This window comes from Homo sapiens, chromosome 12 (genome assembly GCF_000001405.40).
Source record: "Homo sapiens chromosome 12, GRCh38.p14 Primary Assembly".
Classification (NCBI taxonomy): domain Eukaryota; kingdom Metazoa; phylum Chordata; class Mammalia; order Primates; family Hominidae; genus Homo; species Homo sapiens.
In genome coordinates, this window is record NC_000012.12 from 2661272 (window position 1) to 2675729 (window position 14458).

The window sequence follows — 14458 nt, forward strand, 5'->3', positions numbered from 1 at the left end:
CACACACATACACACACACACACACACACACACACACACACACAAGATTTTTCTAAGAGTAGCAGACAAATAATATCAGACTTTTAAAAAGAAGACAGAGAACATCATGAACAAATATGCAAATATATTTGAAAACCTAAATGAAGCAGACGCTTTTATGTAGAAAATAAGAATTATAAAATTATCTTAAGAATTAAAAAAAAACAACTACAACAGAAATTGAAAAGGTAGTTGAAAATTTAGCCTTTGAAAAGGCCCAAGGTTCAATATTTTTATTTGTGAGGTCTACCAGACTATCAAGGAGTGGATCATTCCAATGTTATATAAACTTTCCAGGAACAGAAAGATGTAGAAAACCTCTTCACCCACTCCATAAGACTAATATAAAGCTAATGCCAATGAGAAAAAGAGAAAAAAGCAAGCAGTTATAAATATGAAAATATGTACACATAATTGTCATTGTTTGCAGACAACAGGCTAATTCAAGTAGAAAATCCATGCAAATTAACTAAAAACCCTTTAGGACAATAGAATTAATAAAGTGGAAGATTAAAAGATTAACAAAGAAAAATAATTGCTTTCCTGTACTGGTAATAACTAATTAGTAAATGTAATAGACAAGATCTTATGCTATCACTTTTTCAATGTTATTATTTTGTAACTCTTACCCAATAAAATAAGACAGGAAAGGCCGGGCGCAGTGGCTCACGCCTGTAATCCCAGCACTTCGGGAGGCCAAGGCGGGTGGATCACGAGGTCAGGAGATCGAGACCATCCTGGCTAACACCGTGAAACCCCGTCTCTACTAAAAATACAAAAAATTAGCCGGGCGTGGTAGCAGGCGCCTGTAGTCCCAGCTACTCAGGAGGCTAAGGTGGGAGAATCTCTTGAACCCAGGAGATGGAGGTTGCAGTGAGCCAAGATTGCGCCACTGCACTGCAGTCTGGGGGACAGAGAAAGACCCCATCTCAAAAAAAAAAAACAAGACAGGAAAAATAAATCAAAGGATAAGAATTGGAGAGGAAGAAACAAAATTAAATGCCAAAAAAGTTGATTGCCTGTGTATATATACAAGAAAAATTACAGAAAATTGCTAAAACTGATAGGATAGTTTAGCAAATATTCTGTAATATGAAATCAATTGTATTCCCTCTATATCAGCAGCAAATGGACATAGCTTTTAAAATATAATGTTGAAACTATACCATTTTAAATGTACAACAAAATAAAAGGAGAGAGATGCCACGTTTCTGGCCAGGAGACTTAATATCATAAAGATGTCAGGATTCTGCAAATGAATTGACATCTCAGTGCAATTCTAATAAGACTCCCAACAGGATTATTCACAGAGGCTGAAACTGATTCTACAGTGTCTATGGAATAGAAAAGGAAACTGAATAGCCAAGACAAATGTTGAAGAACAACAGGTTGGCAGGACTCCTGCACTGTGAGAGGGCAGGACTTACTATAAGGCAACTTACTATGCAGACAACACAGTACTTCTGTACCAAGATAAACAAATAAACCTGAGGAATGCAATGACAAGGCTAGAACAAGACCCACACATCTACGCAAATACAACTTACGGCAGAAGAAATATTTCAATTAAGTAGGTGAAGATGTACTATTCAATAAATAGTATTAACAAAATGACTTATCTATGCAGAAAAAATAAAAGCATATTTCTACCTCATATCAAACATGAAAATAAATTTCAGGTCAATAAGTTATTGCGGAAAAACAAAACTTTAGAACCTTTAGAAGAACACAGAAAAGAATGTCTTTATGACCTAAAATAGAGAAAGATTTTTTAAACGTGATGCAAAAAGCACAGAACATAGAGGAAAAAACTATAAATTTGACCTCATTGAAATAAAAAACTTAGATTCACCAAAATACACCGTAAATAATACCAGAGACAACCCACAAATTGGAAGAAGATATTTCTGTTGCATATAACTAACAAAGGGTTAAGAATAGACACGAAACCACCATGAGACTCCACCTTCCTCCTGCAAGAATGGCTGCAATTTAAAAAATAAAAAATAATAGATGTTGGCATGGATGTGGTGGAAAGGGAACACTTTTACCCCGCTGGTGGGAATGTGAACTAGTACAGCCACTATGGAAAACAGTATGAAGATTCCTTAAAGAACTAAAAGTAGACCTACCATTCCATCCAGCAGTCCCACTCCTGGGTATCCACCCAGAGGAAAAGAAGTCATTATGTGAAAGAGACACCTGCACACACACATTTATAGCAGCACCATTTGCAAAATGATGTAATGGACTTTGGGGACTCGGAGAAGGGCAGGAGGATGGTAGGGATCAAAGACGACTGCTTGGGTGATGGGTGCAGCGAAATGTCAGAGATCACCACTGAAGGGCTTGTCCGTGTAAGCAAAAACCACCTGTTCCCAAAAAACTATTGGAAATTTTAAAAAAGAATAGAGAATAGAGTATCTTTTTTTTTTTTTTTTTTTTTTTTGAGACGGAGTCTCGCTCTGTCGCCCAGGCTGGAGTACAGTGGTGTGATCTCGGCTCACTGCAAACTCCGCCTCCCGGGTTCACGCCATTCTCCTGCCTCAGCTTCCCAAGTAGCTGGGACTACAGGCGCCCACCACCGCGCCCGGCTAATTTTTGTATTTTTAGTAGAGACGAGGCTTCACCATGTTAGCCAGGATGGTCTCCATCTCCTGACCTCGTGATCCGCCCACCTCGGCCTCCCAAAGTGCTGGGATTACAGGCGTGAGCCACCGCGCCCGGCCAGAGAATAGAGTATCTTAAGCACCCTACAAACGAACAAGAAGACAACCTGAATCAAACAAGCAAAAACATGAACATGCAATTTAATGGAAGATAAAATTTAAGTTCTCAACCCACTAATCATTTTATAACCAAATTAAAACAGCAGTGACATATTATCTCACACAAATTATATGAGCAACATTTAAAACAATTCACTAATGAACTGATGAGTTTGTACAGTAGTGTTATTTCTCCTACACTGGTAATAGGAGTCTAAGTTGGACAAATCCTTGGAGGTCATGGAATATCTAGTAAAAATAAAGATGCATGTAGTTTAACTGGCAATTCCACTTCTAAGTGGATACCCAAGATATAAATCTGCATGTTTATTGCAGTGTTATTTGTACTAGTAAAAGAAAAAATGAAAAACCTAAATGTTCCTTAACAGGACAGTGGATTTTTTTACGGTAAGTTCATAGAGCATACTCCTGTACAGCAGTTAAGGTGAATGAACTGGAACTAAAATACATCCAAAGGGCTAAGTCTCAAAAACATCACATGGATTGCAAAAACAGCAAGTTTTCGGAAAAGGTGCAATTTGTTACTGTTTATATAAAATTTTAATAATGCTATGTGTTTCATATTTAGCAAATATATCAGAGCATTCAGGGAATGATGAACATCAAGTTCATTTTAGTAACTCCCTCTGGGGAAGGAGGAAAGGGACAGGTGGGGAGGGATGCAGAGGGCCCTCCTTGGCATCTGTAGGATGGGCTGCATGAACGTGGCTCTCCCTCCCCTCCAGGTGTGCCACCGGGGAGGCCTGGCAGGACATCATGCTGGCCTGCATGCCAGGCAAGAAGTGTGCCCCAGAGTCCGAGCCCAGCAACAGCACGGAGGGTGAAACACCCTGTGGTAGCAGCTTTGCTGTCTTCTACTTCATCAGCTTCTACATGCTCTGTGCCTTCCTGGTAAGCCAAGGGGGAACTCAACAGCCAGCAGCCATGACTGCCCAGTTCCAGGGCAGTCTGAACCGTCCATCTCTGCAGCTCATGGTCAGGGCAACCCTATCAGAGGAGCTGGCTTGGGAAGACTAAGTTGGCAGGAGTGTCCAGCCACATGGAGAGAAAGGCAGAAAGCCCTGGGCCAGAGTGAGCTCCACCAGCATCTTGCTTGTCTGTTCTTGGCTGTTGTCATGGTGGCATTGTCCCAGAGGACAACGGGGACATGTGGGGGCCTAGAAAGAACTGTACTTTTTTGGCATCTTGCTGAGGAGTGAGGAAAAGGGGATAAAGTCCCCCTCTGTCCTGCACAGCCCTGCCCAGCAGCTCGGTAGGAGGGAAGCTGTCCAGCCCACCTGTGGGTTCATCACACACAACTCTCAGGGAAACTGTGTCAAGTTTATGTCCAAGAGACCCAGGTTCTCAGGCTGGTAGGATGGATGACTGGTCTTTAGAAATGTTGGCTTCTGCCATCAGTAGGCCCCAGCTGGCAAGGGGGTTCCAGAGGCAGGTGTGTAGGAAGGTCTTCTCACAGCACCTCATTGTACTGTTCCCCACAGATCATCAACCTCTTTGTAGCTGTCATCATGGACAACTTTGACTACCTGACAAGGGACTGGTCCATCCTTGGTCCCCACCACCTGGATGAGTTTAAAAGAATCTGGGCAGAGTATGACCCTGAAGCCAAGTAAGTTCCCAGAGGGAAATCCTGATTCCCCAAGCTGAGAGAGGGTATAGCTGACCATACCTGCAGGAGGGGCTCAAGGTTGGCCAACACTGGGTGGATCAATTAGAAACACTGGATTGTATCACACCCTAGGGTGAAAGGTCAAGGGCCAGCAGGAGGAGGCCCGGCACCTTCAATTAAGTCAAGAATGTATCTACTAGGTTGGGTGGGGTGGCTCACACCTGTAATCCCAGCATTTTAGAAGGCAAAGGTGGTTGAATCACTCGAGGCCAGGAGTTCAAGACCAGCCTGGCCAACACAGTGAACCCCATCTCTACTAAAAATACAAAAATTAGCCGGACATGGTGGCACATGCCTATAATCCCAGCTACTCAGGAGGCCAAGGCATGAGAATTGCCTGAACCTGGGAGGTGGAGGTTGCAGCGAGCTGAGATCACACCACTGCACTCCAGCCTGGGCGACAGAGCAAGACTCCATCTAAAAAAGAAAAAGAAAATAATATATCTACTATATTCAGTTGAATGGAAGGATAGGAAATTCTAGTATCAGGAATAACTAGTAAGTGCTCAAGTTAGGATAGGTAGGGCCGGGGAAAATCTTGATTCCATTCCCGCTTCTGGTCTAAAGATCAATCACATTCGGCTGACCCTCAGTAAATACCTTTTGGTCAGAAGGTTAGTTCATTCAATCAGCAAGTATATATTGAGAATTTTGTTGCACTGCTAAAATCCCTTCCACCTTGAACATAGCATGGGCAGAAAATGATTCATTAAAATCTAAACACGTGTATATGTATATTGGTTTGGGGCTGTGTCATGCAATTCTGCAACTCTGTACTGAGTGTGACTAATAGGGCTACCACACTGTGCAGTGTTGCCCATATGAGTGGGCCCTACCCCTCAGGCGCATGCGTCCTGGGCTGCTGGCAGAGACCGTGGCTCTCTGATGCCCTGTCCCTCCTCTCCCTCCTCTTCTAGGGGTCGTATCAAACACCTGGATGTGGTGACCCTCCTCCGGCGGATTCAGCCGCCACTAGGTTTTGGGAAGCTGTGCCCTCACCGCGTGGCTTGCAAAGTAAGAGATAACGGGGTTCATGGGAGGGAGAGGGAAAATAGGGGAAGTGAAGTGCCCATTTCTTGTGATCCTTTAAGGGAATGAACATACTAGTTTATGTGCCTAAAGATTACATTTTAAGGGTCCTTCCAGCTCTAAATTCTCAGACTCTATGAGGGAATAACAGAGTGAATGCCTCCTGTCCTACTGAGCCAGGGACCCAGTCCTGGATAAAGGACTTGTTCAGTCCATCCCACTGCACCATCCGGGCATCCTGGGGTGGGAGACTTCCCAGCCTAGGCTAGAGGGGTTCGGCGTTCTTTTCCTGGAGTTGGAAGGCCATTAGAAAGCCCAGGCATTGACTTCAGGGGTCTTTGAGTCCTAAAATTTTTCATAAAATCACTAAAATACAAAGTTTACCAGGGAGAGGATTTCTCACTTTAATCAGATTCCTTAGTGAGACCATGACCCAAAAAAAAAGTGTCGTTTCCTTTTCTCCCTCCCCTCCACCATGGCCACTCCACGCTCCTTTTCTCCCTCCTCTCCACCGTGGCCATTCCGTGCTCCTTGTTGGGGCAATAATGAGCTGACAGAGAGCTGGGGGAAGGGAGACCAGAGGGCTGGAGAGAGGAGGAAACTCAGATGGCAGGAGGATTCGGCTCTGTGAGAATCCACTCATGGAAAACGCAGATTGAGGGAACATAGAACCTTCTACTTGTGCTCTGTTTACTGAGTTTCTTCTCATTTGTGCCTCCACTTTGCTCCAAAAACAAACAAACAACAACAACAACAAAAACAGATTTTAAGAGATTTCCAAGGGCATAGAAAATATCAGAAAAGAGCATAAAATAAATGCAAGGTACAAACACCATGCAAGGCAAGGGTGGGGAGGGGTGCAGCCTGGAGGGGGCTAAAGTGCGTCCGTTGTGGCCTCCGGACGGGCCTGGGCAGGCTGAAGCCTGGGTGCGAAACTTTCCGGTGGCCAAGATACAGTTCACACCGTCCATGAGGCTCATCAAGATCTGGTCACTCAGGAGAAGTGTAACCCTTCTAGACACTGAGATTAGCAGGAGGTCACCGTGTGAGCTGACAAATAGCCCCCCTTGAGCATGCCCTTGGCATGGACGCTGTGGTGAGCTTCACACCGCGCTTGCTCGTCATGACCCATTGCATGCTGAAGGCCCCACACCAGAGCTCCGTGCCAGGGAAGCCTGTTCTGGGGGTGTGTGCTGGGAAAGAAGAGGGCAAGACAGCACTATCCAGTGTCAGCAAGCTTCTGCTCCAACTTGATGCAGAAGCATATTTGTCAATACACAGAGAGGACATGTAGCATCTCCTGCAGGCAAAGCTCCTGTGATCCTTTCTCTTCTCTGGGCTGTGGACGAATGCTGCCTGGCAGGTGGGCTCCCAGCACATGCTGGCGTACAGCCGGTCTTTGCTGCCAGTGGAGAGCACACCTGCACGCCTGAGCAGACTTTCGAGCAGGGCGCAAAGTTGGGTGGCCTTCACATCCTTTTGTGGAAGTGAAGGTCTAATGAGGACAAATTTCATACCTCTCCCACTCCACGAGGAGGGTCAAAAGTAGTTGTGGCAAAGGCAAGATTCTCCCTGGAATGCTTCAGGGAGCATTCACTCCCTGCCCACTCCAGCAACACCCACACAAGCTGCGTGTCACCCCCAGCATCCTCTGTGTATTAGGCCATCCTTGCACTGCTGTAAAGAAATACCTGAGACTGGGTAATTTATAAGAAAACAGGTTTAATTGGCCCACAGTTCAGCAGGCTGTACAGGAAGCATGGCACTAGCATTCTGCTTCTGGGGAGGCCTCAGGAAGCTTCCAATCAATCATGGTGGAAGGCAAAGGGGAGGCAGGTACGTCACATGGACAGACAGGGAGCAAGAGAGAAGGGGGAGGGACCACACACTTACTTAAACAAGCAGATCTCATGAGTACTCACTCACCAAGGGGATGGTACCAAACCATTTATGAGAAATCCACCCCATGATGCAATCACCTTCCATCAGGCCCCACCTCCAATTCTGGGGATTACAATTCAACATGAGATTTGGGCGAGGACACAGAGCCAAACCATATCACTCTGCCACGGTGTTCTGCGGTCCCCTAAGCACCGCCTGCCATCATCACCAGCTTTGCTTCTCTTCGCCTGCAGCGCCTGGTCTCCATGAACATGCCTCTGAACAGCGACGGGACAGTCATGTTCAATGCCACCCTGTTTGCCCTGGTCAGGACGGCCCTGAGGATCAAAACAGAAGGTAAGGTCGCCCGTGGGCACTGGGAGAGACACTCAGAAGGTCTAGCAGACAATCAGAGAGGAGCTCGGCAGCCTGCAAAGTGCTCAAGGGAACTTCCTGCCCCAGACAGCATCCGAGCTGGGATACGGGGGTAACGTGCGCTCCAGGACATCGCAGGGCCCCAGCCTGCTCATGACTTCTTTGCTCCTGAATGGTCTCCCTGCCTCTAGCTCAGGGGTTTCCAATCTTTTGGCTTCTCTGGGCCACATTGGAAGAATTGTCTTGGGCCACACATAAAATACACTAACGATAGCTGATGAACTGAAAAAAAAAATTGCAAAATACTCAATGTTTTAAGAAAGTTTACGAATATGTGTTGGGCCACATTCAAAGCCGTCCTGGGCCGCATGTGGCCCATGGGCTGCAGGTTAGACAAGCCTGCTCTAGCTTATTCATTTTGAACTCTAGCTTTCCATGAAACTCTGGGACTCATTCTGGGTGGTATCTTGAAGTCAGAGGGTATAGCTCACAAAACAGAAGGAGACGGGTGTTACCTGAAGCAGGACCAACCCCTGTCTAAAAGAACTTACACTGGCTACAGGTGGGTGTCTCAAATGCTCAACTCATTAAATTAATAGGACTGTGCTGGGAAGACGTGTGGGAAAGGGGACACAGTGACAAGTGGTGGCCGTGGTGGAGGTCATCGCACACATTGTGCGGGCTGAGCCTGGCTTAAGGCTCTTAGCCAGCGGACAGGTGAGGATTCAGACCTCACCTGTGCCACCTAGTCAGACCGGGCTCCCTCAGGGCTGCGTCCACCTGGAGGGGCCCTTCTAGTTTTCACAAGGCACCCTAAGGGCTAGCAGCAGCCTGAGTGAGATAATCTGCTTGCTTTATGATGGATAAGAGTTTGCGAACCACTATGGGAAAGGCTGTATTAAACACACCTAACAAGATACCATTTCTCTCCAAGAGTGTCCAGCCTTGGAGTGTCTAGTGTTTCTTAGAGCGTGGTCAAAAGACCACCGCTGCAGAATCAGCTTTGGGTACCTGTTTAAGCTACTGAGTCCCAGGCACCCACACAGACCTGCTGATGCCAAATCCCTGAGCATGGGGCCCAGGAATCTGCATCTTGAACCAACTACAGAGATGATTCAAACCCACTGGTGTAGTAATTACAGAAAACACAGATGAGACAAGCAGTATGCTTCCTTCCCCTTCCTACACTTCCAGCTTAAAGCTCAGGCTGTCCGTCAGTGTGTTCCTCGGGGCAACAGAAGGAGCCCCGGGCAGGTGGGAGGCTCGAATCCGAGTCCCTGCTCTCTCACTAATGACATGAGTATGAGCCATTTACTCTCTCTCTACTTCAGTTGCTCCATTGGTAGACTAGAGAAAGGTGATGACATCTGGGAATTTAATTCATTGAATAACCCAGACATGGGCCTTCTCTCCGTTAGATCCTTCAAAAACAATAACAGAAACATTTCAAATGAAGTGAAACAAGAACCAGTCCACCAAGACACAAGTCAAAATAATTAGCTGATTTTTAAAAAATAAAAATAGGGGCCAGGCGTGCTGGCTCGTGCCTGTAATTCCAGCACTTTGAGAGGCCCAGTCGGGCAGATCCCGAGGTCAGGAGATTGAGACCATCCTGGCCAACATGGTGAAACCTCGTCTCTACTAAAAATACAAAAATTAGCCGGGCGTGGTGGCACGTGCCTGTAATCCCAGCTACTCAGGAGGCTGAGGCAGGAGAATCGCTTGAACCTGGGAGGCAGAGGTTGCAGTGAGCCGAGATCACCCCACTCTAGCCTGGGCGACAGAGTGAGGCTCCATCTGAAAAAATAAAATAAAATAATAAAAATAGGACAAGTTCTGCTACTAAATTAAAAAAAAAAAAAAGAGCAAAGGCTTAAAAAATATACCATCAGTAGCCAATGCAATCACTCAATCTGAAATGGGTGTAAATAGGCCTATTTCTGACTGCCAGAAAACCAAAACACACTTTTTTTTTTTTTTTAAATGGAATCTCGCTCTGTCGCCAGGCTGGAGTGCAGTGGCACAATCTCGGCCTGCTGCAACCTCTGACTCCCTAGTTCAAGCCATTCTCCTGCCTCAGCCTCTCAAGTAGCTGGGATTACAGGCACGTGCCACCACGCCCGGCTAATTTTTGTATTTTTAGTAGAGACAGGGTTTCACCATGTTGGCCAGGATGGTCTCAATCTCCTGACCTTGTGATCTGCCCGACTGGGCCTCCCAAAGTGCTGGGATGACAGGCATGAGCCACCGCGCCCGGCCAAAACACACATTTAATTCACACATATGTGTGTATAACAAGGAAGAAAACTGGGAAGGAAATGTGTTCGTATGCTAACACTGATTATCATGAGTAGAAAGATCAGCAGTGACATCCACCTTACTCCTTTAGTTTTTTTACTTTCCAAATGTTCTGCAAGGAATGTTACTCCCCTATGTTCAGAGGGAAGGAGAGGCGATATAAATGACTGCCAGGAGGAATATGCTGTAATACTTAAAGATTGATGTAAATTAAGGATGTGAGATTTTGTTCCCTAGAGGAACAAAAGGCAGGGAGGTATGGAAGCAAGAATTCAGCAGGGTCGAAGGTTCACTGTCAAAGCCAACCACATGCCAACTAAGGAAGACCAATAGCTAGTAACAATGCGAAAGACTGACCAGTCAAATGCAGGGACCCAATTCTGAGGAAATAAGAGTTCCAGAGAAAAGAGGAGAAGCCAGCCATGTGGGAACTACAATCCTGTCAAGAATTACAGACTATCTTTTAAACACAAAGACATTTCAGAACAGCTACCAAAGGGCCCGAAACGCCCCCACCCAAGGGTGAGCCTTCATCAGACATGGGCCCTCCATAAACTTGTTAAAATCGAAACGCCCCCACCCAAGGGTGAGCCTTCATCAGACACGGGCCCTCCACAAACTTGTTAAAATCCTAAGAAAGAAAGACAAAGTCAAGTCTTGGAAGCAACTAGAAAGAAATGTGAGAAGACATCTACATTTGTGAAGATGAGGCTTGCATCAGTCCTCACCCTTCAGACTTCTCAGCGTGGAAGGAATTGGGGCGAAATTAACACCTACCTCAGAGAAGCAGAGCTGTCATCCCAAGTCCAGTACCAAGCCAAAGAAGCTTCTCTCTTGGAACGTAGAAGGAAGAGCTCTCATCCCAAGTCCAGTACCAAGCCAAACAAGCTTCTCTCTTGGAACATAAAAGGAAGATAGTGAAAAATACTTAGATGACATGAAACAATTGTCGGTGAACTTCAACAATTACATAGACCATCATGAGAATAAATTAAGGCTGATAAAAAAAAATGAAAGGTCCTTTTGGAAACTATGTTAATTTCTTAGGTCTGCTGTAACAAATGATCACAAACTGGGCAGCTGGAAACAAGAGAAAGTTCTCTCAGTTTAGGAGACCAGAGACCTAAAACTAAGGTGTCAGCAGAGTTGGTTCTTTCTGGAGGCTCTGGGGAGAGTCTGTTCCACCCTTTCTCCCAGATTCTGAGGGCTGTGGATGATGCCTGGTGTGCACTGGCTCACAGCACATCACGCCATCTGTGCCTCCATCTTCAAATAGCCTCCAGGGTCTTGTGTCCTCTCCTCTTCTTGGAAGGACACCAGCCACATTGGACTTAGGGCCCACCCTCATCCAGGATGACCTCACCTTAACTAATTACATTGGTGAAAATCCTATTTCCAACTAAGGCCACATTCTGAGGTTCTAGGCAGACATGAATTTTGGGAGGACACTATTCAGCCCAGTACCGAAGCTAAGTATATTTGAATACCATGTGTGTTAGGATCTTGCACTGCGTGTGTCAGAAACCTCCAGCTACCTCTCCCGTGATGGGGACTGATCATCTGTGCAGCTGGAAGGCCCAGGAGTCGTCCCCTGCCTTCAGGTCCTGTTTGGATCTGGCATTTGGGGAGCTCGGGATTCCGTCAATCCCTCTACTGCCACCTCTGCATGCTCTGCCCTGTGGCCCCAGAGGTGGATTTGAACCCAGGCAGTCTGACACAAGAGCCCTCAACCACAATACTGGACTGCCGGTCCTATGCGAGAGCAGTAAACATCCCGTGTTGGTTTCCTACTGCTGCAAAGCAAATTACTACAAGCTTTTCAGCTTAAAAAGACACCCCGTTGGCTGGGCACGGTGGCTCACACATGTAATCCCAGCACTTTGGGAGGCTGAGGCAGGTAGATTACCTGAGGTTGGGAGTTCGAGACCAACATGGAGAAACCCCATCTCTACTAAAAATATAAAATTAGCTGGGCATGGTGGCCCATGCCTGTAATCCCAGCTACTTGGGAGGCTGAGGCAGGAGAATCACTTGAACCCAGGAGGTGGAGGTTGCAGTGAGCCAAGATCGCGCCATTGCACTCCAGCCTGGGCAACAAGAGCAAACTTCCGTCTAAAAAAAAAAAAAAAAAAAGACACCCCGTTAGTAGCTCATGGTTTTGCAGGTCAGAAGTCCAGCAGTGGTGAAGCTGGGCTTTCATAAGGCAAATCCAGGATATTGATCAGGCCATGGTCTCTTCTGGAGGCTCTGGGGGAGATCATGTTGTTGGTGGAATTCATTTGTTGCAATTGTAGGCCTGAGATCCTCACTTTCCTGCTGGCTGACAGCTGGGGACCCCCTCTGCTCCTAGAGGCTGCCTCTCTCAGTTCAGCCCACATGACTGTTTGCTTTCTTCCAGGCCGGCTGGAGAGAACTCTGCCTTTAAAGGGCTCATGTGACTAGGTCAGGCCTGCCTAACCTCCCTGTCTTAGGTCATAGGTGCCGTGTGCCATATAACCTAATCTCAGGAGTAAAATCTATGATGGTCAGGGGCCCAGGGCTTTGGCAGCATGTGTACCCTGATGAGGAGCATCTTAGAATCCTGTCCCCTACATCTGCCCTTACAGCTGTAAGGCTCAGCTTTCCTTTTTCATCACTGTAAGGCTAGGACCCCAGAGGCTGCATAAGGCAGGCATCTAAGTAGGGGAACTCGGGACAGAGCCCTCATCGACAGATGTACCCTCCAATCATCCATGTTCCCTGTGACTGCCGAAGGAGGTCCATGAGAAATGCCACCCATGGGGACCAGCCCCCCACTGCCCGTGGCAGGGCCATACGTGTTCCAGCTGGTGAGCGCATGGCCGCCATTGTTCCTGCCCAGGGGCTGGGCTCAGTCTACAAGGAAGAGCACTGAGTGCCGGTGGAGGGGCCCCCTGGCTGGCCTGAGCCACAGGCAGGGGGAAGGGGACAGGAATGGCATTGGACGGGGCACAAGAGGGAAGGGGGAAGGAAGGAAGGTGGACAGAGGAAGGGGAAGAGGAAGGAGGTGGAAAATGGGAAGACTGGGGAGAAGTGAAGCAAGCAAGAAAGAAACTGATGAGTCAGGGTTGCGTGGGGCAGATGCCACCATCTGTGGCTTCCTACCTTACGCAGAGGGACCCAGCCCATCAGAGGCCCACCAAGGGGCTGAGGATCCTTTCCGCCCTGCAGGGAACCTAGAACAAGCCAATGAGGAGCTGCGGGCGATCATCAAGAAGATCTGGAAGCGGACCAGCATGAAGCTGCTGGACCAGGTGGTGCCCCCTGCAGGTGGTGAGTGCTCCCTGGACTCCCGCACCTTGGCCACTGCCTGGCCGTGCCCCCCTCTGCCTGCCTCTCCTCCAGCTGTGGCACCCTTAGAATGCGGAAGCATCCCCTGAGACTTGCTTCTTGAGTCCCCTAGGCTTGCTGGAGGTCTGCCTTCAGACCCTTCCTGTGGGGCTCAGAGGCCCTGTTGGTTAGAAGGGAGGCAGGTGCAACGCCCTGCACAAACTCAGAAACAGAAAGTCAGGTTGGAAATCTGGTACAACCCTGCTTTTTACATAGGGTAACAGGCAAGTCCCTGATGCTTAGGGGTTTGGCAGAACTTCTAAAGAAACTCCACAAAGTATAGGTTTCCCATAAACCTGATTGCTGTAGGATTGCTCTAAGGCCCTCAAACGAGAATCCCCTGAGATTCCTCCCCTCTTGGATGACATTCTTTTTGTTCTTCCAAGAGCAGTGTTTCTTGACCCTATCAAGCCTCAAATCCCTTTTTATAGCAAAGAGTTTATATTGCCTTTACTATGATCCTGAATGAAAATTATAGGTAATATAACTTTCCTATACATATAATTTCCAAAATATTAATATAATGCCTTCACTCTAACATAAAATCTATTAAAAGCAGATGTTTCCAATATGTAAATACTCAGGCATAACTATACCAGCAGGTACATTTAATTGATGAGATCTTCTCATGCACCCACTTACAACACATACGGCTGGGTTCACAGGAAACAAGACAATACTGAATACTGTCAACACTTTGATTTGCCATTTTGAAATAAGGGGTAAATCAGTATATTAAATAAGTGTGTGTATAAATAGCCCCCCACACATAAACACACACACATACTTACACATATGCAGAACAACCGTGATGTGACACTTACGGTGAGTGACCCACACACCCTAAAGAGCATTGCCATCAGGAATACAGTTTTCCAAAATGCGAACCTCTCTTGGCCAAGTTTAAATAATCCAAAGTATAGTTTTCCTCAATTTACACAGCAGTTGTATTCCTGGAAATTGTCAGGTGTGTTAAAACCATGCAAAACAATGTCCTGTGTTCATTTGCAAAATGAAATTATGTTCCGAG

At 46.7% G+C, this 14458-nt stretch overlaps 1 protein-coding gene and 1 long non-coding RNA gene across 57 annotated transcripts in view; one reads left to right on the forward strand and one right to left on the reverse strand.

Moving 5' to 3' along the window:
• CACNA1C (calcium voltage-gated channel subunit alpha1 C) overlaps positions 1-14458 on the forward strand; it is a 727171-nt gene that overhangs the window by 690492 nt on the left and 22221 nt on the right. For 46 of the 56 annotated variants that reach the window (XM_017019934.3, XM_017019946.3, XM_017019943.3 and 43 more), the window contains 5 exons: positions 3554-3719; positions 4310-4437; positions 5415-5511; positions 7662-7764; positions 13270-13371. In XM_017019934.3, coding sequence (XP_016875423.1) covers positions 3554-3719; positions 4310-4437; positions 5415-5511; positions 7662-7764; positions 13270-13371 — 596 coding nt within the window. Of the gene's footprint in view, positions 1-3553; positions 3720-4309; positions 4438-5414; positions 5512-7661; positions 7765-13212; positions 13372-14458 lie in introns of all 56 variants that reach the window. The other 10 variants (XM_017019926.3, XM_017019927.3, XM_017019928.3 and 7 more) reach the window with 1 other exon arrangement.
• CACNA1C-AS2 (CACNA1C antisense RNA 2) lies at positions 7229-10949 on the reverse strand. Its single transcript, NR_046579.1, has 2 exons — positions 10858-10949; positions 7229-7745 (listed from the first exon to the last, which is right to left on the reverse strand). It is a non-coding gene; the product is annotated as a CACNA1C antisense RNA 2 (long non-coding RNA).